The 26,454-nt window shown below is 40.7% G+C and overlaps 1 protein-coding gene across 5 annotated transcripts in view, besides 1 other annotated feature; it reads right to left on the reverse strand.

Moving 5' to 3' along the window:
- PDZRN3 (PDZ domain containing ring finger 3) overlaps positions 1–26,454 on the reverse strand; it is a 242,511-nt gene that overhangs the window by 62,216 nt on the left and 153,841 nt on the right. The gene's annotated exons all lie outside the window — the stretch shown is intronic.
- Positions 4,352–4,421: an enhancer, noted in NCBI's record as "active region_20099". NCBI's record gives its function as "activates an Ori minimal core promoter by ATAC-STARR-seq in GM12878 lymphoblastoid cells {active_cell/tissue: GM12878}" and the evidence as "EXISTENCE:reporter gene assay evidence [ECO:0000049][PMID:35858748]".

The raw sequence follows: 26,454 nt of genomic DNA on the forward strand, positions 1-26,454 counted from the left end.
AAACCATAAAGGGGGAGAGAAGTCAGCTGTAGAGAGTGGAGGTAGTGGTGGAGTAAGGAAGGTTTCTCCTGATAACCCCCATGGGGTAACTACAATATAACTCTTGGGGCCATGCTTTTTGGTTTGCTGTGGATACTACAGCCTTTGTGGAAAAGGCACAATCTGAGCTGGTTGTTGCAAGATGGAGGGAATACAGACATAGGGAAAAACAAGCCAGGCCAGAGCCACACGTGAGGAAACGCAGAAAGAGCTCTCTGACTAGAGATGAAGCAGGTACATGGGCTGTGGTGCCTAGGGAAGGTGAGTCCACATGAATGGCGGTCTTGAGGGCAAATGAATGATGGGATAGAAATGATTTCTGGTGAAGAGGCCTGTGACTGGCGTGTAGGCTGAAGTGAAGCAGGAAGGTATGAAATGGCGAGAGGGTGACACTGGGGCAGAGATAGGGAGAGCCTAAATCTGAATTCAGAACTGGGAATCTCAATTACCAAATTACTTTGTATCTTGCTTGGTAGATCTCAGGTCAAACCACAGCCAGAAGTGGATCTGGGAAACACAGATTTTTGTTTTTATTCTTGGCCAGACTCTAGGATTCAGGACATGCCCTCGTAGTAGATGGTCCTTTCCAACAGCCGGTAATTGAGTCATAGGCAACTTGGGTGTTCGTGTCTGAAAGAATTTGGAGGCTAGGAGAAGCAGGAGTTGGATGGATAACTTAGGCACTAAAGGGAAGCTAGTTTAATATTTTAAAGTCACCCAGAAGATAAAACAAGTAGTTGCAAGAAAGACACTTGAGAAAAACAAAACAAAACAAAACAAAACAACACTGCAAAGTGAGGCTTCATAATTCACTCGTACCTATAAGGTTCATGTGCTATCAAGTCTGAAATTACTTACCAAGCCTCTATCCTAGATTTACTTTCTCTATAAAACAGTACTTCAGAGAATAAGTAAGTAAACACCATTATGACCAATGGTTTAAGAGAAAAATGCTTCCACAAATGGCAATACTAATTTTTTAACATTCTCTGAGAAAATATAACAACTCAATACACTTGAGAGCCGGGTAAGAACTACTGATGTTGTACTTAATCCTTAAAACTGATATATATGTGTGTCCAAAAGCTAATAAAGTTCCCTCTCCTATAAATGGGGGAAAGGAAAACACTAGATCACAGGCAACACATGCTTAGGATTCTGGTCTGATGGCCAGAGCCCAGGGGCAGGGAAAATTGAAGTGATTTAAAATAGTCCCTGATAGGATATATCTGATATTAGTGGGCTTGCTGAAGCGAAACAGTAATATCAGAGAGATACAAAGGTGTAAAACCCATCAATGTGCGTCCAAATGTTTTGATGCCTTGACCCCAACATCTTTCAGGTGATTCGTCCCTGGGGGTAAGCACAAGTGTGCTGGGTGATATCAACTAGAAAGCTGATAAGTGGGTGCTCTGAAACCACAATTTATTTTTTGGAATGAAATGGGGAACATTAACAGCTTATTTCATTTTACACCTTTCACTGCAGAGGGGTCCCCGTCAGCACTCTGAGTTCTGCCCACCTTCTCTTTGAGTCCATCTACCATGACCTACCTTGGCGTGAGGCATTTTATTTCAGGAAAAGGAATAAATACAGTTACATGGGCAGTGAGCGTTTCTTCAAAGCTTTGCTTGGCCAAGCCATGCCACGATCCCACCACAGCAGCTAATGACCAATCATACCGTGTGCTCTATACACCAATACTATTCCATCATTTGGATTTCATGGACTGGTAAAATTAGAGGGGAACAATGCTGAGGACTAACAGAGTGGCCAAATACATATTTGTCTTATAAGGACATTTAAAAACTTCATGCGTTAGTACCTTAATTGGAAAACAAAAACCTGAAAAAATTATTAGACATAACCTCAGGAGTTTCAAAACAGAGTAAGTTTAAATTTACAGAATACTCACTACACTTTCTTATCTGCCTGACTCTCTGTACAAGGATTCAGTTGCTGGCGGGGACAGAGAGCAACATGTCCCAGGGAAGCTGAGGAAGAACGTGGATGGAAAACAGACTGCTTCTGGCGATGTGAACCTTCCCTTACCTTAGGAAGAAGGGTAACCAGGGTGCACAGAATGGCGAATTGAGGACCTTTTCTTCTCAGTTCCTTCTTTAAAATACTGAATCCTACTGCATCGAGTGAGTAGGTTTTCATGTCTTACCCTCGTGACTTGTGTATTCTGTTGCTCTCGACAGTGCTGGGTGAGCTGGCTCCTAGCTCCTGCCTTCTCCCACTTCCCAGCTTGCTGCAGCCCTCTGGTGACAGTCAGACAATGATATGGAAGGATTCCTGACTAATTCGGATGGACGTGAGCTGAACCTTCCCTGCTTCTGGCCAACCTCTTGACTATATATATATATATAAAGAATTGCAATATATATATATATATATTAGATATATATATTAGATCTAATATATATAATTTTGCAATCCATTTATTTGTCTCTGTATTCACTCCCATCCCCAAATTATTTTCATGGTGGAGAAACAAACTTTGTGCCCCTTCTTCAACTGCAAAACCTTGCTCTGCCCTCCCTTCAGTTGCACTGCTTCTCTTAGTCTGTGCAGGAAATCGAAGCCTCGTGCCCTCGGACTCAAGGCTCTCCCAGACCTCCATCCCTCCCACTCGTGCTGTCTGTCCTAGCTTCCTGTTGCCTGTCTCCTCCCTCTCCAGGCCGACAGAGGTTTCTCAAGACATTCTGAAGGCTCCCAAATCTGCCACTCCCCAGTCTTCTCCCTCTCCCTCCTTTTGCTGACACGTTCCTCCATAGAGCAGTCTACACTTAACTTCTCTTCTTTCTCACCTCCACCCATTCTCTTTGGTTTGCCCTCTGCAATCCTTCCTCCATAGCCGAACACACACTACTATAGCTGTCCCATCTGGGGTCATAATGACCTCCCAATTGCCGCAACCAAGAGCTTGTTGTAAGTCCTCCATTCAAACTATCTAAATAGGAGGACGTGGAGGTCCATAGTTCAAGATTTACCTCCACTGGCTTTAGAGATAATTCAGTTGCAGTCCAAAAAGATTACTTACCGGCGGAACTGAGATGTGGCCCCAGCCTTCTGTTAACCATGTTGATGTTCTTTCTCCTAAAGACCACCACCTGCCTTGACCTTCCCTGTAACACCTGACCCTGTTGACTCTACACTCCTTCTTAACTCTTCCCTGGTCCTTTCATAGTATACATTCCTCATCTACCCAGATCCCTCTGGTAATGCCTGCTAGCTCCTTTTCCTCTTGCATTCTACATAAATATAGATATGCCCTAAATATCATAGCTTTTCCAGTAGTAAGGATCATATCTAGCACACACATTTTCTTCTTCCCACCTCTCTTCTGTCTCCATATACTGCCAGTGGGAGTTCAACCTATTAGAAATGCCCTCTGACAACCAAAAACATCCTTCTCTTTCATCACCCGTAAATAAGCACCTACCATGTGAGATTCAGCACAGGAGGGGAATCTGGGATCAGACTGCCTAATTTCAAATCCCAGCTCAGCTTCTTTAGCACATGCCATTGTGACCTGGCAAGATTCTTCCCAAGTCTTCATTTTTTCTTCTAACCACCTACGATTGTTGTGAAGACTAATGAGAAATTACTCATACAGAGTTACTCAGTGAAGTGGCTGGCTTGCAGCATTAATGGTAAATGCTCAGTAGATTTTAGTTTTCTTCCTTTCTTTTTTACATTTTCACTTTTAATGTTTGCTAGGGATGATGCTGAACCCTAGTTCCATCCCTTGTATAGCTCAGCGTCTGGTGTAATTAAACTTTAGATGTGCCACAGCAGCTGTCTGCAGAGTAGATGGGGAGAAAGGAGTGAAGAGTTAATTCTACTTAGGGCATCAGAAAAACCTTCATTTGAAGAGCTAAACACTAATCTCAATCTTGTTTTTTTTTCCTGGGGACTAAGCTGCTATACAGACCACATGTAAACTTTATTTAATAGAAGCTTCACAAGTGAGCAATATCATGGCAAGAAAAAAACATTTAGAACAGAATTGTTCAGACATTGGGGTGCATTTAGCTACTAGGGTGGGCAAGAAACATAGGCCAGAATAATTTGTGGCTACCCCTGAGGATATTCACAGTATGTAACACCTCAAGCCAGAGAAGCCATGGAAACACCTGGTGTGATACATCTGTACTTGTGGCACGAAAGTCAGGACAGGCACCTTTTATATTTAAAACCAGTCACCATGACTACCACAACCCAGTTTCTCATGCTACCACAAACCTTCTATTTCTCACTGCAATGTGGTGTGTGGCATGGTTGGAGTCACAAGACTGATTTTCATGGGACTTTGAACCTCTGATTCTTATGTTTCTTTGAGTTTCATTTTAAGCCTGGTCTTTGCAGAGAAAGGGGGAAGAAATCACAGATAATTAAAGCATAAAATATTCTCATTTCATGGTGGGGCTAACAAGTGAAACTACAAGTAATGATGTAATCCAACTTGTCAAAAAGGGAAATGAAAAGAGGAGACAGAAGGCAGGACAGAGCCTTGGGACCCAGCGTGCCATGTCATCTTCTAATTAACTAACTGATCCTTTAAACTGTCAAACTCGGCGAGGAACTCCATGGCCTGGCATCTGATTAATATTCATATTCGGGCACTGGATGCTCTGATTTAAGTCCCAACGGCTGTAGTTAAACATCAGTCTTTAAAAAAAAAAAGAGAGAGAGGGAAATAAAAACCTGCCTGGTGAACCAAAGTCTCCAGGTTTTACATTCATAGGGAAATGAGGGAAGGCCACACTGAGTTCCATAATCCACAGTGCGAGCAAATCCTCCGTGGATGCATATTGATTTCTGAATCATGATGAGGACTTGTATATTGAACAAATAATTATTTTGCTTCTTTCTACTGGCAGCCACATTGTTAATCATATCCCACGCCTCACTGTTAAATAAGCGAACAACGCGTGTAAAATTACATAGCATTCGGTAATATAATCAAGCTTTTAATTTCAAACAAAAATAATTGAATATGTAATTTAATTAAAACAGGCTAGAATCCATCATTCAGTTAAACTGTAATAAGTGGCAGCCTGGACTTTTATTCTTATGGCACAGGCTGCAAAAGAATATATTGCCTCCCTTAAATTGACTTCTCGACTAAAAAATGCTTCAGTCTGGGGTGTAAGAAAAGCCTGTTCTAACTGCATGCTTTACGTAGATGAGGCAATTGACTTAAAAAACTCAAACCAGCACCCCTAGACAGAGTCTCAGTCTGATTCACACTCCCAACCACCAACAGCTGGGCAGCACACGCCATAGGTACCTCCTCTGGAGGACGATGATGAGAAGGGTCCTTAGGAGGCACTGGATGGACTGTGCCTTTTCCTTTACTCTCAGTTCTCTTTTTATTAATTAAAGACCTCTGAAGGAAGAAAATAAGTCAGCCCAGTTCCACTGCAAGTTCTAACAGCATTGGTTTTTGGAAAATGTTTCCTAAGATATTTTTATATTTAATGTGAGAGAGGCTTCCCTCTCATGATGCCAGTCCATTCTACATTACTGTGTTCTACATTGACATGCCACTGATCCCATATGCCTTCTCAGTAGCAATTCTTCCTTACCCTATAGAGCGTACTAAACATTCTCAAGCCCTTGTTAAACATACTACTTAGCTATTCTCCAAGTTATATTTAAAAATGGGTGACATTGCTCATGGATGTGCAGATTGGCATCATAATCAATACACACACAAAATACAAAAGGTGTGGTAAGAGCTAGGCTCAAGCTGATCAGTGCAGCCAATAGATATCGAGGCCTATCACGTAATCAGGCACATTAATAAGTCACGATTCATTTTCTTTTTAGCAGGGAGGACATGCTATACATCTAATCAGTATATTTTTAATAAAGGAATAGCCCACTTGTAATAAATACATACATACATTCCAAATAGCTTGTGTGATTTTCCAAATTGAGCAAAAAATGTGGTCAAACTGGTTTAGGGTACAAGTTTAAATTCCAAAAGGCATTTTTGCATTTCTGCTAACTAGAGTAGGAAGAGGAGGAAAACCATCCAACAGCACCATTACTATCTCTGCATCACACCTGCCTTTGAAAGATCAGAACTGAAAAGGCAGACTGGCTGGTGCTGCCCATCAGAAGCCTTAATTCTTTTCACCCTCTGGATGAGACCTGCAGAATCAACAATCAAAAAAGTTCTTCCGCTGATAATTATTCTAGGATGATTTGGAATATTTCTCATGCTCTTTAAAAAAAAAAAAGCTGGCACATCTCAAATTTCACCCACACCCACCTCTATTTGGAGTTTTCAGGCCATTGGGGAAACCTACCGTCACCGCCAATCCTGACCTGTAAACTGCAAGTCAGGAGGAATCCAATAGGATGGCAGAAACAGTCTTGACATCTCACTTCAGAAGACAATGTCAGTGCACTGCTTGCCAGATGACATCCTATGCTGTGTTCCTCGGAGCTGCAAATACTTCTTCCGGGTGGGGAGCAGGCCCCTGGGACACCGAAACTGGCTCACATCCACAGGCAATATAGTAATTAATGGTGTCTTTCAGGGCAAGCGCAGTAAAAAAATAATTGCTCTCAAATTTTTACTGCTAATAAATGATTGGTACAGTCAATATTTGTGTTGTTGGGAGTGGATGTGTGGCTCTATGTGTTAGAGGATGAGGAGGAAAGTCTTTTGGATGCAAATATCCAAACCAGTCTATCAGCTCAGTTAATAACTCTGACCTGCCAGACCACAAGTGCTGAATATGTTGACTTTAAATGTCTACAGGGAACATATGTCATGGATCAGAGAACACACTGATTAGTCCAACAGAGACCAAAGTCTGTCACTTTGGTCATGGTGCAAAGATGTGCCAAACAGGGTCACTAAAGAGAGTAAATAAATGGGAGAAAAATACCAAAGCAAAGTTGGTTTTAGAGAGAGGCTGAGCTGCCAACTACCTGGCTAAATGCTATTTGATTAGGTAAAATATATTTCCTGCCCCAGCACACCTGCCCACTGTGTTAAAACATCGCTTCCCCTTTCTTAAAATAACTACCAGCTTGCTGATGCCAAGTAACTCTCACTCATGTCGTAATCATTTACTATCATATGATAGGTCATCAGCTTTCTGCCTATTGAATCCCGCAGATGCTCTAGCTTCTCATCACACACACACACACACACACAGCCTTATAAACAGAGATTTAAAGATGACTGTGCTCAGGGTGTTTACTGGGAAGTCAGTTCTCCTAAGGAACAGGAATCCCTTGCTGGTATGAACTGTGAACACAGAGAAAATTGTGAGGGCCAAACAGAATCGAATCTTTACTAATGTGGGTAAGCAATAACCTGCTATGTCTTTATGGGCTAGTTAGCTCAGCTATGGGCTAATTAGCTCAGCTGGTTAGACGATGGATATAGCTCGGGCCACAGCAATAAGTCTGATTCCCATGTGAAGAGGACAAATGACCTCCTGGCTACAGACTGACTCCTTTATCTCCAGCCATCATTCCACAGATAGACGCTCTCAGGGTGGAATGTGGGGCTACACGACTCAAAGGCACTGTCAAGGTGGTAGGTTAGTAGCACGGTCTCAAATAGGGGTGGGGTCACTAAAGAGAGTAAATAAATGGATTTAGACTTGAGCCACAAAACACACGGCTTTTCTCTACCACCAACATGATAATTATTTGTTATCTTCTCCAAGAAATCACAAAATAGCTGCCACAGAGAGTTCTCCAAAACTGGTATAGGAATATACTTTTTAACTTTGCAAAGGTAATTCCATTTAAATTTGCTTCTCTCTATGATTTCACTGAAGGCAGAAACGCATGCTGGGACCTCTACTTTCACAGGGAACAAGATGTATGGCCAAGTCAGTCCTGGCTGGGCCAGGCTTCCAGGATCATCTCATCCACCATCCTAACTGGTGGTATTATTCAGGCATTCACTGAAAACTTGGATTTTTAAAGCATATGCATCTCCTTTCAGATCTTTTTGTGGGGGACCAGATTTTACTTGGTTTTAAGTTGTGAGTTACTCTGATGCTGTCTCTCAAACCATGCTAACACTTCGCTCAGTGGTTACAGTTGAATAATATTTTAAGATATTCATGAGGCAACGACTAGTGCCAATTCTCTAACGGTCCATATATCTGTGTGTGTGTGTGTGTGTGTGTGTGTGTGTGTGTTTTAAGTCCATGCAGTTGTCTTTAACTTGTTCTTCTGCATAATTTATTGGGCAGCTGTCAAACACACATGTTCTCCTGTCTCACAGCTGACATTTGTACAGTGATAAATGACATAGGAAATGGACTACAAGCAAACTGACACTCTGCCATTGAATACAAGGAAGAAATGGAGTATGGGGGCAAGAGAAACAGGTTGGAGAAAGTATGCCACTTTCCCTTTCCAGCAGTCAGGCTAGAAAGAACTTGCTGTTGGCCAGGTGTGGTAGCTCATGCCTGTAATCCCAGCACTTTGGGAGGCCAAGGCAGGCAGATCATGAGGTCAAGAGATCAAGACCATCCTGGCCAACATGGTGAAACCCTGTCTCTACTAAAAACACAAAAATTAGCTGGGTGTGATGGTGTGCACCTGTAGTCCCAGCTACTTGGGAGGCTGAGGCAGAAGAATCACTTGAAGCCGGGAGGCGGAGGTTGCAGTGAGCCGAGATCTAGCCACTGCACTCTAGCCTAGAGACAGAGTGAGACTTCGTCTCAAAAAAAAAAAAAAAAAAACAAAAAAAAAAAACAAAGAAAGAAGAAAGAATTCGCTGTTAATTCCTGAACAGTCCACAGAAATGGCCTTACTTTCCAGAGACACTTGCTTTACTCAATGGCTGTTTTGCTTTCTTTAAAAAAGGTACAATAATTTCAATATATAGATATATGAAGTATTTTCTTCATGCTTTAAGTATATATACATTTATATATAATTATATATAATCAAGAATGATTTTGTAGAATTAGCAACGTTGATATTGTAATGCAAAACACAGTTTGAAAAACTCTTAAATTTCTCCAAAGAGAACGCTTAATTCCTGTAAGTGGGCCAAATACCGCAATTCTGAAAACCTCACACACACAGACAATTGATCTCCGTGTTAAGCCACAAAGCATTGTTACTAAGCTCACATATTCATTCTTTTTGATCTCTTTCCATTTCCTGCATTGTATTCAGTGCCTCTTATCCTTGTCCAACATCAACAGGTCATTGCAGAGGGGTCAGTGTTGGCCAATATAAATAACCATTATAAAAACCTCTAGCATGTTTTAAATCAACAACCAAAGTGGCCTACACTGTTTAAAGTATAAATTCCAAATATTTTCACGACAGAGAGTAGGCCAGGCCTGTGAAAAGTACAGGTAAAAATTATAGTTAAACAGATCACAGCAAGCTATTCCAGCACAAGATTCCTCATTTTAAGACCAGCTTAAAAACAAACATAGATGATGGTATCCCCTGGGCAGGAGAGGAGGCCTGGGATTCCTACCCCTGGCACATATGTTTCACAAGAGTTTCCCACACATGGCAGAAATAACCACCATCTATACAAACCCAGAGAGTCTCTGAGAAGCCTACAAGAGCCAGAGAACCAGAGAGTGTAGAGAAACTTGGAGTAGGGAGAGGAAGGGGCCTAGCACTTGGAGCCACCTCTTTCTTTTCCCTCACCAAAACCCATCAGCAATGACACCTCAACCCCCTCCTGAGCAGGGTGAGGCCCTGCAACATCAATGTGTCTCCAGACCACTCTCCTTTGGAAGAGGTAATGAAAAAGGGGCTGATTTGAGTCGTCCAAGAGTTCCTGATACCTGACTTTGGGAAGGACGACACGTAACCTATCCTGACTCTGGATTTACTTGTTTGCTTTGCCTGGGTTGTTATTGGAATTAATCTGCATCATCTAAGAATACAGTCATTGAACTGGGTGGGGTGGTATCTATAAATGCTAAGAGTGACAGGACCAAGGAGGCCAAGAATAATATTGACCATTAATCCACATTTACTGCTATGGAAAGATGGCCAGAATATGGTACTGATTGAGAATAAGGAGGTTCTCAAAAAAGCTTGAAAAGTGTGGCATTATTTTACAAGTAACTAAATAGATTTTTTAAAAGCATGAACAAATACTACAAAACATCCAAAGGATATATACTCAAATATCATCTCTATGTATTAGGATTTTACCCATTTTAAAGTTTCTTCATTTTTTTTTTTTTAATTGCGATCTTGGTTGGACTGACTTATCATCTGTAAGAAATGTCTTGATTTTCTACACTATCTTGACTAATTTCTCCTGGAGTTCCATTCAATTATGCCCCTCTTATTTCAGACTATTTGTTTATGAGTACAATATTTCCTGGAGTATTGAACCCTTATCATTTGAAAGTTACCCTCCCAGTTTTCACAGTAAGTTTTTATTATCAGGAAAAGAAGCTGCTTTCATGTTGGAAAAAGAATCACCATGAGTAATGACCAGAGTATTTTCAGATCAACATCATCATCATCCATTTACTTTAAGTACCATTTGTTATTTCATTTAATCCTTACAATGACTTTACAAGGTAAGAACTCTTGCCAACAATATTATTTTCAGTTTGTAGACAAGAAAGGTGGGGTCTAGAAAGTTAGGTACCCTAACCTTCTCAGGATTACAGAGTAAGTGCTAGAACCAGAATTAAACCTCAGTTGACCCAGCTACAGAGCTTATGGTCTTCATGAATACATGATGCTGTGCTGACATTAAGAAATGGCTATGTCCCGACTCCACACTTGTGAAAAAGACATATCAGATCTGGGAAGTCAAGGCATTGGCCATTATGTGCCACTTATAGAAATCTACTTTTTTAGCCTGCAGAGACTCTCAGCAGCAAGGCATACATGATTTCTGAACTTCTAATTTTTTCTCACTTGCAAAACAGATATTATAATAAATCTTGTTCAAAAGATGAACAACCTTTATTTATCTCCAACCTTATCTACCTCTGAAAGGATGGGATGTAATATGCTAGTTTAAATAATAATAGATCGTTTTTCTCTAGCATGGAGCAAATAAAAGCATAAAACTGCATTTAGGTTTTTCAAATACAGACTTGGACAAATCAAAAGGTACACTTTCTTCGCTAGGCCAACTGTCCTCCTCTGACCCCCTGCTAATTTTCCTGATGATGTTTGAGCAGAACATGCTGATTTGGGTAATTCCATGTCCATGCACAAAAATAATTGATGACATCAGCATAGTTATGGGAATTAGACTTATTAGTTAATTACAGAACCAGCAGAGGGAGCACAAACCCTGCATAAATAATAACCATTTCTTCTGGGTATCTTATAAAATAGTGGTAATGGTGGAAGGAAGAAACAGATTCAAAAACTAAATTGTTAGTATCAGAAAATGGGCTTTGCTTTCTTGGAATGGTGTTAGGGCAGAAACCTAATACATTGTTCATATGGTCTACGTATAAATGTTGACGTCTTAGGTACTGAAGAGAAGAAAAATGTGTGTGTGTGTGTGTGTGTGTGTGTGTGTGCGCGCGTGCGCTTCTCCTTGTTATCATGGTGAAACCCTCCCTTCTGTGGAATAATTAAGGTCAGATGGTGAAACTTTCCTAGAGTTGGCAAATACTTGTTGTATCTGACCCTGATATCACAGGAGCTTTCATTTTAGCCTTGCTCATCCTAAACAAAGTCCCAAGTGAGCCAATCTTATTCTTCTAAAGGCAATCAAGATTTACATTTATGGTTGAATAAAGATTTGACAGAAGTGAAACAAAATAATGTCTATTGCTACAAAGAAAGAAAAAATAAAATTATTCTTTTTAAAAAACTATCTGCCTTAAGTCCTGCTTAACATTTTAAATAGTCACCATTTCCAAATTTGAAGCCAGATGATGTTCACAGTTTTTCCCCTGAAGAATAAAATGACTGATAGGACAGTACACAGATATATGCCTCCCATCACAATAACATCGTCATGTATAAATAGGAATTAAGATAAAAGGCATCCATTTATTCAACCATTGATAGGTTAAGCAAGATACGTAGGGCTGAAAAGTTTTGTTTCCTGGACCAACGTTCAAGACTAGGCCAAATGTTAAAGGTAGCTATAATCATACCACAGGCATAAATACTGCCCAGCGTGGTATAAAATTTAGCCAGAGAGATAAATAATATATAAAGAACTTGATTTCTGTGCTACGAATTTCTTCTGCTGATTTTTGAGAGGATGGTCTCTCCAGAAGGGGAGTAGGGGGAAAAAAAAAACACCTGGTACTTAATAGACATTACCATTTAAAATGTATGTATCCTGTTGGTATGTTAAAACAAAATGCTTACTTTAAAAAAGTAATATGAATGGATTCATGGCAGGGAGAAAGAAATTTCTACCTTAGCTCACTTTTTTTTGAGACAGAGTCTCACTCTGTCGCCCAGGCTGGAGTGCAGTGGCGTGATCTCGGCTCACCGCAACCTCCGCCTCCTGGATTCAAGTGATTCTCCTGCCTCAGCCTTTCAAGTAGCTGGGATTATAGGCGCCCACCACCATGCCCGGCTAATTTTTGTATTTTTAGTAGAGATGAGGTTTTACCACGTTGGCCAGGCTGGTTTCAAACTCCTGACCTCAGGTGATCCACGTGCCTCAGCCTTCCAAAGTGCTGGGATTACAGGTATGAGCCACCGTGCCCGGCCGTACCTTAGCTCATATTAAGAGCACCATCAAGGCTCTGGAGTAGAGAAACAGTGTTTGTGAAGAAATGGTATACTGAGTGGAGAATGGCCCAATATGGGTTTGTTGGGTTCCAGAGAGAACCAACTCTGGGATATTGACAGCCATACTCCTAGGGTGCGTGCTGTTCCATGTGCCCCCTGGATTCCCTTACCTCTTCCTCGGTATCTGGCCTGGTCCTGTTTCTCATCATTTTGCAAGCCCAGTACTTGCCACCACAGAGATGTTACTGTAGTCTGAATGTATGTGTCTCTCCAAAATTCGTATTTTGAAACCTAATCACCAATGTGACGGTGTTAGGAGGTGGGGCTTTTGGCAGGTGATTCTGAGACCTCAACGAATGCCATGAGTGCCCTTCTAAGAGGCCCCAGAAAGCACCCTTGCCCTTCCCACCATGTGAGGATGCAGCAAGAAGGCATCACCTATAAACCAGGAAATGGGTCTTCACTAGACATCAAATCTACTGACATCCTGATTATGGAATTCCCAGCCTCCAGAACTGCAAGAAGTAAAGTTCTGTTGTTTATAAGCCACCTATTTTATGGCATGTTGTTATAGCAGCCTGACCAGATGGAAACAGACATGCAATGGCAGAGGCAGCAGCAGTTCTACCAGGGAAACTGGAGAGACAGGCACACAGGGCTCAGAGACCGAGGTTCTGTTACCAGTGGGGAAAAATGTGGTCTGTCCTTGCTTTTTATTCTTTTTCTCCCTTGAAGGATTCTGAGCACAGTGGACCCTCCAAATGTGGCCCTTGTCAATGGGTTACAGTTTAGCTTGGGGTGGCTTTGCTTTCTTCATCCACACAATGAGAAAACAGGAGGCAACAGAGCAGTCTTCATGAGTGGATTCTGCTCGGTGCCCAGCAGATGCCCGTAACAGCTGTTAACTGACCACTCCCAAGTCTGATGCCAATACCTCTCTTTCAGAGACTGGCCACCTCTAAGTACTGGTTTCTTCTGCTGCTGAAGAAAGCCAAGGGACTTTATCTTACAGGGTCAGGTAAACTCCCTGTGCACAGATCCTATGCCTCAATGAGATGTTTTTAAATAGGTTTTTTTCCCATTTAAAGTAATTTTTCTCCAACGTTTATGCTTATTTGAAGTTTTCATGGCAAACTAGCATTTATTGAACACTTATTACATACTAGATACAATGCTAGGAAACTGACCTGCATGATCTCTTAGATCTCAAAGCTTGCATTTTGAGCATCTCATACATTTTGAGTTGTATTAGTCCGTTCTCACACCTCTATGAAGAAATACCTGAGACTGGGTAATTTATAAAGGAAAGAGGTTTGGGCTGGGTGCGGTGGCTCACACCTGTAATCCCAGCACTTTGGGAGGCTGAGACAGGTAGATCACGAGGTCAGGAATTCGAGACCAGCATGGCCAATATGGTGAAACCCCATCTCTACTAAAAATATAACAAAATTAACCAGGCGTAGTGGCACACGCCTGTAGCCCCAGCTACTTGGGAGGCTGAGACAGGAGAATCGATTCAACCCGGGAGGTGGAGGTTGCAGTGAGCCAAGATTGCACCACTGCACTCCAGCCCGGGCAACAGAGCAAAACTCCATCTCAAACAAAAAAAAAAAAAGAAAAAAAAGAAAAAAGAAAAGAGGTTTAATTGACTCACAGTTCGGCATTGCTGGGGAGGCCTCAGTAAACTGACAATCACGGCGGAAGGCACCTCTTCACAGGGCGGCAGAAGAGAGAATGAGTGCCAGCAAGGGAAAATGCCAGTTGCTTATAAAACCATCAGATCTCCTGAGAACTCACTATCATAAGAACAGTACTGGGGAAACCACCCCCATAATAATTCAGTCAGCTCCCACCAGGTCCCTCCCATAACACATGGGGATTATAATTCAAGATGAGATTTGGGTGGGGACACAGCCAAACCATATCATGAATTAAGTACTTTTTAATTTTATTTTCTTTCATCTTTAACTTTTATTTTAAGTTCAAGGGTACATGTGCAGGTTTGTTTTATAGGTAAACTCATGTCATGGGGGTGTGCACATTATTTCATCACTCAGGTACTAAGCCCAGTACCCAATAGTTATTTTTTTTCTGCTCTTCTCCTTCCTTCTACCCTTCACCCTCAAGTAGGCTCCAGTATCTGTTGTTCCCTTCTTTGTGTCCATGAGTTCTCATCACTTAGTTCGCACTTACAAGTGAGAATGTGTGGTATTTGGTTTTTTTGTTCCTGCATTAGTTTGCTAAGGATAATGCCCCCCAACTCGATCCATGCTCCTGCAAAAGACATGGTCTTCTTCTTTTTACGGCTGCATAGTATTTCATGGTGTATATGTACCACATTTTCTTTATCGAATCTGTCATTGATGGGCATTTTGGTTGATTCCATGTCTTTGCTATTGTGAATAGAAGCACTCTTCTTTTATATCTGCCTAACAGATGGGGAGCCTGAGACTCAGAACAGTAAAGAACTTGCCCAGGTCACCCAGCTAATACGTGGCAGGCAGGAGTCACATCCAGATGTCTGCCTGTGGAAGTCCATGCATGCCTTTTCACTAGAGCTCACTGCACTTCCCCTTCCAAGTGAAAAATGTAGATGACAATGTTTGTGGAAGATGACAGAATCTGTTATTGTTAGAATTCTCATATATACATTATGGGGGCTTTTAAAATGATTTGAGGTAAAATATACATATATAATGTATCATCTTTACCATTTTCAAGTGTACAGTTCAGTGGTAATAAACATTCACATTCTTTTCTGTGGTGGTTGTTCTAAGCAACTAAAAGTTTGTTGATTTTGAGAACTATTATAATAGCAAAAGAAAAAAGTCTGAGCGAAAGAATCCTGTCACTGAAAAAATATATCAATAGGTGAGAGTGCGATGACAGGGCAAATCACTACCTATGCTAACATTCTCTCCATTGATCCTTCCTCCCTGCATTATGATTTGTGTCTTTCATGGACATGAGCTTTACTCTCCATCATGATGGCTAAAAGTCAGTACAGACCCAATCAGCAAGCCCAGTGGCCCCTCATCTGTTGGAGTCATTAAATCAAAGTAAACACTACCAACAATCTTAAGCCTCAAATCCTGATTCATCTTGACCATCCACTGGAAACGACAGGCTTCTTACAAAGTAAGAAATTTAAAAATTCTCCACAGGGAGTATGTCAGGTATCTGACAAATGTGGCCTCACCATTTTCTTTATGATAACCACATTTTCTTAATGCAAAGTTATAGCATTGAATATAGCATGAAGGTGCTCTTAGTAAGAGTTCTTAAATAAGAAGTTGATCAAAGAACAAAGAAACAAATTAATAATACTTATTTTCATCTAGTAAATGAATTTAACACAGCCTTTTCTATGATGAGGCAGAAACACAGAGATTTGTTTTTTATTTTTTATTTTTTTTTGAGATGGGAGTCTCGTTCTGTTGCCCAGGCTGTAGTGCAGTGGCACAATCTCGGCTCACTGCAACCTCTGCCTCCCAGGTTCAAGCAATTCTCCTGCCTCAGCCTCCTGAGTAGCTGGGACTACAGGTGCATACCACCATGCTGGGCTAATTTTTGTATTTTTAGTAGAGATAGGGCTTCATCATGTTGGCCAGGCTGGTCTCAAACTCCTGACCTCAGGTGATCAAGCCACCTTGGCCTCCCAAAGTGCTGGGATTACAGGCATGAGCCACCGTACCTGGCCAAGATTTATTTTACATTTGCTATTATTCATTGTAGTGGAAGTTGATCTCAGAACGAATGAATCAGTAGAGACCAGCACTGTGTCTCATTTTATCATGTTAGGAAGTGGTTGAAAATCTAAACCCTATCATTTATTTCAGTGAAAAGAAATATGCCTGAAAAGAACCATTAGCCAGGCTTATTCTACATGTATATGTTTTTATTTTTAGCATTTTGCAGCATTCTTAGTCAATTTTGCAGATAATTCAGGAAGCTATGTAAACATGGAATGTGCAGCATGAGTTTGGAGACCAAAGAAATCTCAAAAGGAATCATTTGGACATGTCTCCCATTTAATTAAATAAACAAACACCGGAGAGATCTGTGTTAGTGGAACCCATCTCATGAATGTATTAGGTAATGGTCACCACAAATGTGTTTTGTTAAAAATGGGCAGTTGGCTTCATTCATCTATTGAGAGACACCATCTCCCCATCCTCACCCTACAACAACAGTTGAAGTTCCTAAGATAATCTGGACATGAAACACAAAACTTTTCATGTAGATTAGTGACTTTTTCTTTTAAAATGAAATCTGGAGAAGTTAAGCCATTTAGATGGTTTTGCGGACAGCAGATGCATCATATCACAGACATGTCATGTGTACATAAAAAAAGTATGTGTTGTGGTAACTGCCAAGTCATTCACAGCCTAGGTTCCCCAAGGACAGGGGTTCAGCCATGGGGAGGCCAGAGAAAGGGTCATGATTCACTACGGCAGGGCCAGCGCTTGGACAGAGTTGCCTTTAATTGCCTGGTTGTCATCTCCCAGATACTCTCGGGTGACACTGTAGCTAGAGTAATGAAGAAAATAAATACACAGAATCTCATATATTCCTTGATCCTGAAATGCTCTATTTGCTCAATATTCATTAATGAGAGAAAAAATTAGATCATCTCTCATGTTTCACATTGATACCATATATCATTTTTGCTTGAGTATAAACTGACATATGTGTTCTTTCAATTATATGAAAAGCAAGATGTCAGATAGATTACATGTTTGCAATGATGCTGTTCTTTATGCTCACACTTTTGATTGGGAAAGTTTGCAGTTGAAAGGCAAGGGTAATCAGCTCAGAACAATCTGAATGGTAATTTTCTCTAGAGGTATAAAGTCATACTTTTGTCATTAAAAGGTCACATAGTTTGTGAACCTTTAAAAAAGGAACTTGAGGCCGAGGCGGGCAGATCACGAGGTCAGGAGATCGAGACCATCCTGGCTAACACGGTGAAACCCTGTCTGTACTAAAAATACAAAAAAAATTAGCCAGGCGTGGTGGTGGGCCCCTGTAGTCCCAGCTACTTGGGAGCCCGAAGCAGGAGAATGGTGTGAACCTGGGAGGCAGAGCTTGCCGTGAGTGAGATTGCGCCACTGCACTCCAGCTTGGGCAACAGGTGAGACTCCGTCTCAAAAAAAAAAAAAAAAAAAAGAACTTGATTCCATTTGGGTCTAGAATTTTTCATCATATTGCAGAAAGCAGCAAGAGGTAAGCCTGAAACACTTTAGTTTGGGTGTGATGGCATGTCAAGAGAAAACTGAGCTTTCCACTTGTATTCTCAATACCTCTCTGCATGTGGTGGAAGGGGGTTATCCTCATTCTGTCACTTAACAACAGCCATCGTTTAAGTGGCCACCACCAGATACAGGGACCACCCTAAGCTCTTTGCACACATTAGCACATTTAACATTTGCAACTACCTTTTGCCTTAAGTCTTATTGGCCCACACTTTTACAAATGAGAAAGGAGGCTTAATGGGACTAAGTATTATGCCCAGAATCAGGATTCACAGCCAGGTCTGTCTTGCTTCCAAACCCTGTGCTCTTGACCAGCTAAATATGCAATCACCTTCAGTCATTTTGTTTTGTGACTGCTTACTATTAAGACCACCTCTGATAGAAAGGAATAGGAAAGAGAGATGCTAGGACAAAGTGTTACCATTGCAAGTAAGGACGGCATACATGTGAGAAGGGAAGACTAGTGTCAAAAAGAGGTGGTCATCTTGTTGGGCGAGCCATGGCCAAATTCCTGCTTTCCCAGGGCTCGCTGCATTGTGACTTCAACCAAGGCCCATCCTTACTTGGTCAGACTCCAGCAGGAAAGGATTACCCAAAGCATGAAACAGAGAGCTTGGTCTCTTAGGTGGAAGAAGCTAATTCCTATGACACAGTATTTGAAAGGTGCCTGGTTACTTACTCTGAAAAGGTGTTGTCCCTGAGATGACTGGAGACACTAGTAGCACCAGAAGCCATTTTTTCAGTCACATGCTACTACTTATTACAGACATTCTCCATTATTTGAAAACTCCATATGTATACATTTCCTATGAAGGGATCTGTAACTTAGAAAAGGGTGTCTCCCAGTCAGAATGGCTATTATTAAAAAGTCACAAAATAACAGATGCTGGCAAGATTGTGGAGAAAAAGGAACACTTTTACACTGTGTGGGGAGTGTAAATTAGTGCAACCATTGTGGAAGACAGTGTGGTGATTCCTCAAATACCTAGAGACAGAAATACCCAGCAACCCCATTATTGGATATATGCTCAAAGAAATATAAATAATTCTATTATAAAGACACATTCACATGTATGTTCACTGCAGCACTATTCACAATAGCAAAGACATGGAATCAACCTAAATGCCTATCAGTGATAGACTGGATAAAGAAAATGTGGTACATATACACCATGGAAAAATAACTAATGGATAGTAGACTTAATACCTGGGTGATGAAATAATCTGTACAACCCCCATGACACATGTTTACCTATGTAACAAACCTGCACATCCTGCACGTTACCCCTGAACTTAAAAGTTTTAAAAAAAAGTGCTATGTATTCTTTTTTATTTTTTATTTATTTATTTATTTTGAGACAGAGTCTTACACCGTCTCCCGGGCTGGAGTGAAACAGGGCGATCTCGGCTCACTGCAACCTCTGCCTCCTGGGTTGACGGGATTCTCCTGCCTCAGCCTCCATAGTAGCTGGGATCACAGACGCACATCACCACACCCAGCTATTTTTTTGTATTTTTCGTAGAGATGGGGTTTCACCATGTTGGCCAGGCTGGTTTTGAACTCCTGACCTCATGATCCGCCCACCTCGGCCTCCCAAAGTGCTGGGATTATAGGCGTGAGCCATGGTGCCTGGCCCTGTGTATTCTTTATTGGGTAATTCCTAGATACTTCATGGGTTTTGTTACTCACTATTGTGAGTAATATCTTTTTTTGTCATATTCTAGTTGGTTATTATTGGTATAGAAAGTGCACAGCTGATTTATGTAAGCTGACCTTATATCAAATAACATTGTTGAACTCTCATATGAGCTCTAATTGTCATTGTTGAACTCTCACATAAGCTCTAAACTCTGCTAAGATTTTCTATGTTGGTAATTATATCATCTATAAATGATAACTATTCTGTCTCTTCCCTTCCAGTTTCTGTATCTTGTTTATTTTTCTTATTATATTGGCTAGAATCCCCAGTACAACGTTGAATCATTATTAAAACAAAGATAAAGGGCATCCTTAAATTTTCCTATATTTCAAAAGAAAAAAAGGTGTCTCTTTTTAAAAAAATCTGGAACCTAGATTCTGCTCTAAATTTTTTATTGACAGATAAGATTGTATGCATTTATCATGTATGACATGATGTTTTGAAGTACATATACATCGTGGGATGGCTAAAGCAAGCTAATTAATATATGCATTACCTATCATAGTGGTCATTTTTGTGGTGAGAATACTTAAAACCTACTCTCTTACCACTTTTCAAGAATACAATATATTGTTATGTAGTCATCATGTTGTACAATAGATCTCTTGAACTTATTCCTCTTATTTAAGTGAAAATTTGTAACCTTTGACCAACGTCTTCCCAACCATCTGCTCTGCTAAATTTCTGAATACCTGTGATCACAAGTTTCTGTTGCTAAGTTGTCTCTAGGTTGCTTATCTGTAATAAAATGAGTCTTAATTATGTTGGAATAGGGTATGCACCATCTCTTTCCCATGCTAAATGAAAGCACTCACAGGCAGAGTCGGTATAAAATCCATCACTTTATCTCCGGAGCCCAGCCTGGTGCCTGGTACACAGCAGGTACTAAACAGCCAATGGATGATGAAGTATACCCCTTCTTCTATGTGTTTTAGTTTTTGCATTTTGAATCTCCATCTCTCCTCCTTTTCTGTATATTTCCCTTCCTTTACCTTAAATCAATTAACTTCTTTCTATAACAAATTGCCTTATATAGATGGTGCCAGAGGATGTGATCTGAACATTCACTGAGCTACCTGTTTCCAGCCTGCAGAATTAGAGAAGATTTGGAAAACAAAACCCAAAATGAACAAACAAAACAAAATACAAAATATCCCTTTCCAATTTTGCAAGGAAAACCTCTTAAGGGACAGAAGTTGATGAACAAGATCTCACCATTATACAATGATGAAGCTAGCCCGCGGATGAGAAAACGGCTACCAGGAAGTCACGATTATTGTTGTACATTATTTGTGTTTAGTGCCAGAGAAACGATTTTCTTTCTGCAATATCTTTGCCTCAATAAAATTAAGAACGCAGTGTAAGATCCAAATTCCCCCCAAAGGGGTCAGCCTAAAAAAATTTATTATCTCTACTGCCACGGGGATTTATAGTTTCTCCTTTAATAGTTATAGTCTGATATACCATAAGTTTTGTTGGTCACTAGGTGGATTCATTTATCTCTCTTTTGAAAAACACATTGAATGTTTTAAGCAAATTCTGGCCTTTCAATTGACTGAATTTTGCATTGAGGAATGAATTGCTGAATGACTTTGGAATATGTCTCCAAAACAAGTAGACCTTAAAATAAAAACAGATACTGAAGATTGTATTTTCCTGATTGTCAGTCAAGCTAATTACGCTTTACTCTAAAGCTTTGTCTATCAGGCTAGAAAGGAAAAGGCAACTGGGGGCTCTCTCCTTGCAGAGCCTGATGTCTGGGAATATAACACCAGTTTATTCACAGCAGGAGCCTGCTGTAATTGGCAGTTCCATTTTCCCCTACTAGAGGGTAACTCTCTAGTGAAGAAAACACAGTGTTAACAAGATTTTACAAATTTGACATATGGTATCCTATCTAAAATGACCAACGAAAGTTCCTTATCTCCCCAAACAAATGCAGTTATCACAGGATAGGACTACAAAGAGTGATAGAAAAAAAAAAAAGGGGGGGCCCTTGGAGTTCTTTTATGGGGCCTGCAAATCTGTGGTCTTAACAAAAAACCTATTAATAACAACAAAAGCAAGACACTCACGGTGGCTGTGTCTCCAAGAGTTGGTGATGAAATGATGGTAAAAACCTCACCTGAATTGGTGCTTCAATAACGACAGGTGATTATGGCTAGCTCATTTGGAGTGAGGATTCTGGCCCAGGAGAGAATCCTTAGTGAGTCTATTCAGTTTAGGATGGGGCTGGTCCACGCAGCAATTAAGAGGAAATAAAAGACATGCAGGAACTAGCAACAATTCTGGGTTTATCCTCACCCTCTCCCTTAACACGCAGAAACTCTAGAATGAATTTGTAGAAAGGGTCAAATTGTTTTGATGTGGATCCAAAAAGGGCTTCTTTATTATAATATAAATCTTGCTTAAAACCATACACCCCCAATGAGGTCTCTGGTTTCTGTTTTAACTAACAAAAGAATGAAAGAAAGATTATTCTGGAACATAAAACACTAGGCAGAATGTATGCAAATTTTCCAGAAAAAGCAGAGCAAGGATTTGTGTTCTCTTTCCACTTGAACATATTAAGTGATGCATCATTTCATTTTTCCTCTGTAGGACGTTTGGGTAGATTCTAAAAAGGGGCAAAAATGGGTCCCCAGGAATTTATCCTGGATCTGCTGCTAAGATACCCCCAGTTTATTGTCTACAGTCATAATCTAGGGACTGTCATCAGACCCTATCTGATGTTCCATCTGACCCCAGCTGCAGAGATGGTGCAGGAAATGGAGATTCACTTTCAGGTTGGTGATCTCAAGGGCATTACAGAATGGGATTAATGAGCAGCTTCCAAGCACCATGTACTCGCAGTAAAGCCACAGAGTCAGGTTAAGTCCTAATTTTCATGGGGAATTAAACTGCCTTTTGATACCACCTGGTGACATATAATTGACAATCAACTGGAATCTACCCAGGTGAAGGAAGCAGCAGGATGGCAAAGCCAATTTTTTTGTTTCAGTATACTCAATGACACACACGCTCAAATACAAAAGGACAAATATTTGTTTCTCCAATTAGATTAGTTGCTCACTCAGTGTTCCTGTTCATTTCTTCTTTCCTGCCTAGATGTTCTACACAGCGATTCCCAGTAACACCTGAACTGTTTTGAAGTAGTGGAAGGAAAGGCAGGCCTTGAGTTAACACTGAGTCCCATAGCAAGAGGGTTTGGCTTTATCAAATGTCTTACCATCTTCCAGATTATGAAAGAGTCTCAGTTCGGTGCTGCTACATCTTTTGCGCCTTGCTAATATTTGCTAATCTCAGTGGGAGATAAGAACCTCAGAGTGTCACACAGTAGAACTCAGCTAGCATCTAATAATGGGCTGCTTTCATTCTGTTCATTTTTATGGCTATTCCCTCTATTTATGACAAGCATTACTGATTTTCCATTTCTAGAAGTCAGAGAATGTTTTCATGGAAAATATAGTTACTCATGCTAAGTGAAATAAGCCAGTTACAAAAGGACAAGTACTATATAATTCCACTTATATGAGGTGCCTGGGGTAGTCAAATTCATAGACAGGAAGTCGAATGGAGGCTGCCAGGGTTAGAGGAAGGAGGGAATTAGGAGCTGTCATTTATTGGATAAAGAGTTTCATTATTTGCAAGATGAGAAAATCCTGGAGATTGGTCACACAACAATGCAAATATATTTAACACCATTGCACTGCACACCTAAATATGGTTAAGATGGCAAATTTTATGTTATGTATATTGTACCATAATAATAATAATTAAAAAAAAAGCTGAAGAGGGAGGCAGAGAGGAGGATCAGAGGAAGCTGTGCTATGGAAGCATCATCAGAGAGATGGCACACTGTTGGCTTTGGAAATGGGAAGCGACCATGAGCCAAGAAATGTGGGCAGCCTCTAGAAGCTGGAAAAGTCAAGGAAACAGATTTTCCCTTAGAGCCTCCAGAAAAGAATGCAGCCATGTTCACACCTTGATTATAGTTTGGTTACACATTTTGATTCTGGCTTCCAGGGCTTACAAATTTGTGTTGTTTTAAGCACCTTTTCCCCCCTCTCCATGCCCCAAATACAGTCGCTTACTCTTTTTTTTTTTCTTTGAGTCAATTAAAGCACATTTGGAAATTATAGTGACGAGGTACATGTCTATGGAAAAACCATGAAGATGGCATGAGAATGCTTAATGTTTGAACAGAAGCCCTATCTCCTGGGCTGTAAAAGTCAAACCATGTTTTCCAAGATCTCTTATACACAAAAGGCATCATTACCATGGTGACAGATTGAAATAGGTATTTAACAAGCTTTAAATAACCCCAACTGAGGCAGTGTTCTTTAATTTTTAAAAGCACCCCCACCCAAACCCTCTCATTGTGTTGACTGATGCAAAAGTGCACCAGAGGTTAAGCGGGAGATCTGGAGCCAGCGATCCTGGATTTAACCCTGGCTCTGCCACTTACCAGCTGAATAAACTTGGGCTTATCACCTAACCTCAGAGCCTCAGCTTCTGCATTTGAGAAATGGGATCATTAGTACCTCCCTCAAAGGAGCTACTATGAGAATCAAAGAAGAAGCATGACAACTTTTGGTTTACGCCTGACACCTAATAGGTGTTCAAGTAATATTGGCTCCTATTATTATTATGATTATACTTATTATTACTAGGCATTCTGATGCTACCAAATATCTATTTTATTTCTTTCAAGAAAAAAAGATTCATCTTTTTTTTTTTTTTGAGATGAAGTCTCACTCTGTCACCCAGGCTAGAGTGCAGTGGCACAATCTCGGCTCACTGCAACCTCCGCCTCCCGGGTTCAAGCAATTCTCTGACTCAGCCTCCCGAATAGCTGGAATTACAGGTGCCCACCACCATGCCCAGATAATTTTTGTATCTTTAGTGGAAACAAGGTTTCACCATGTTGGCCAGGCCGGTCTTGAACTCCTGACCTCGTGATCCATCCGCCTCAGCCTCCCGAAGTGCTGGGATTACAGGCGTGAGCCACCACTCCCGGTCATGATTCATCTCTTTAATACGAATGAGATCTGAACAACTCTAGCCACCAGTGGAGGTTGCATTATTTGGCGTCAGGTGACTTTGGAGTCTTCCATCAAGGCAAGGTATGCATGCTCTTGGGGATGGCTCTGCTTTTAGTGAAATTCACCAACACTCCGTGCTTACTCACTGTGATTACAATCACCGTTCATGTAGGGGTCAGCCCAAAAGCTTTTGGCCAACTCACGTTTAAAGCCTGACCCAAATGCCCGGTTTGTCCACAGCTGTCATTTATCAGCAACACAATACCCCAGGGCAATGTACTCATCAAACGCTTATTGACTTAAGCTGATGGGGTTTTTTTTTCATAACATTAGAAAATATTACTTCTGATTTGAATGTTTTCTTTGCAGGATGGAAATTAAAACAAAGTGCTATTTACATGGCACCCATTTTCTGATTGGATGCACTGATTGAAGGTGAGCATTTACTCATGAAAATATCTTGGTAGCTTAAGGCAGAGTTTCTCAACTTCAGCCCTGTTGACATCTTGGGCCAGATAGTTCTATGTTGAAAGTGGGTAGTTAGTTCAATGTGCTGTACGTTGTAGGATGTCTAGCAGCATCCCTGGCCTCTACCCACTAGATGCTAGTTGTCCTTCCTCCTCAGCAGTGACAACCAAAAACGTCTCCAGACATTATTAAATGTTCCTTGGGGGCAAAATTGCCTCCAGGTGAGAACCACTGCATTGGGGTATGATATCAGCTCTGAGATTACTAACTAATCAAGATTAGTGGCTGTTGGCTAAAAAAAAAAATTAAAATATTGAACATAGGAAGATTCATAGTTATAGCTACCAGTTGTGAATAATTTAAAAGAAGCATTTTTATATTTTTAATCGTGTCCCTCAATCAATAAATACAAATTAAATATAGTAAGTGAAATTGCCGTGTAAACTATATAGTGTTAGATAACTAAAATTATACCAGTGTGGTCTGAGACTATATAAAGGATGGGCTGCTTGAAGAACTAACCTTCATGAAGTCTGTGCTATGTGCTAAGTACTTTGTTCATACCAGCTCATTTGAGCCTCATCCACTAGGTTTTATGGAGGAGGAAAAGCTCAGGAAAGAGAAGTAACATGATCAAGGTCACTCAGCTAGTAAGAGGTGGTGGTAGGATTTGAATCCAGGGCTGTAACTTTCCAAAGCCTAATGCTCCCCCACCCCACTTACTGCCCGCCATGTGCTGTGGATGCTGTTCTTGAATAAGAGGGAAATACTCCTATGCTCCTTGACAAGTCCTTCTGGAAACAATGCACAGACATACAGAGAAGCCAGCCACAGGTGGAGTGAAATCTGTCACCTAGAGCTGAAGCCACTTGAAATGGTTAACTCAAGTCTACATGCAGGACCCAAAGACCCACTGTGCCAATCATTCCGACCAACTAGTCCCAAACGGACATTTTTGAGATCCATTGTTAGTATGTGCTATTCTTTTCCCCTAAAACATCCAGAAAATTAACCTTCAATGAAAATATCTGGGAGAAACACATTCCAAATTGACTTAGACAACAAAAGGAAATAATTGATTCCATTTTGCAATTTTAAAACTTGATGTCTGTAATGTGTTGAAATGTGCCCCTCCACCCCCGACTGACTCAAAAGATATGCTAGAGTCCTAACGGCCAGTCCTTCAGAATGTGACCTTATTTGGAAATAGGGTCTTTACAGAGGCAATTAAGTAAAAAT

Source organism: Homo sapiens, chromosome 3, assembly GCF_000001405.40.
Source record: "Homo sapiens chromosome 3, GRCh38.p14 Primary Assembly".
In the NCBI taxonomy this organism is placed as follows: Eukaryota; Metazoa; Chordata; class Mammalia; order Primates; family Hominidae; genus Homo; species Homo sapiens.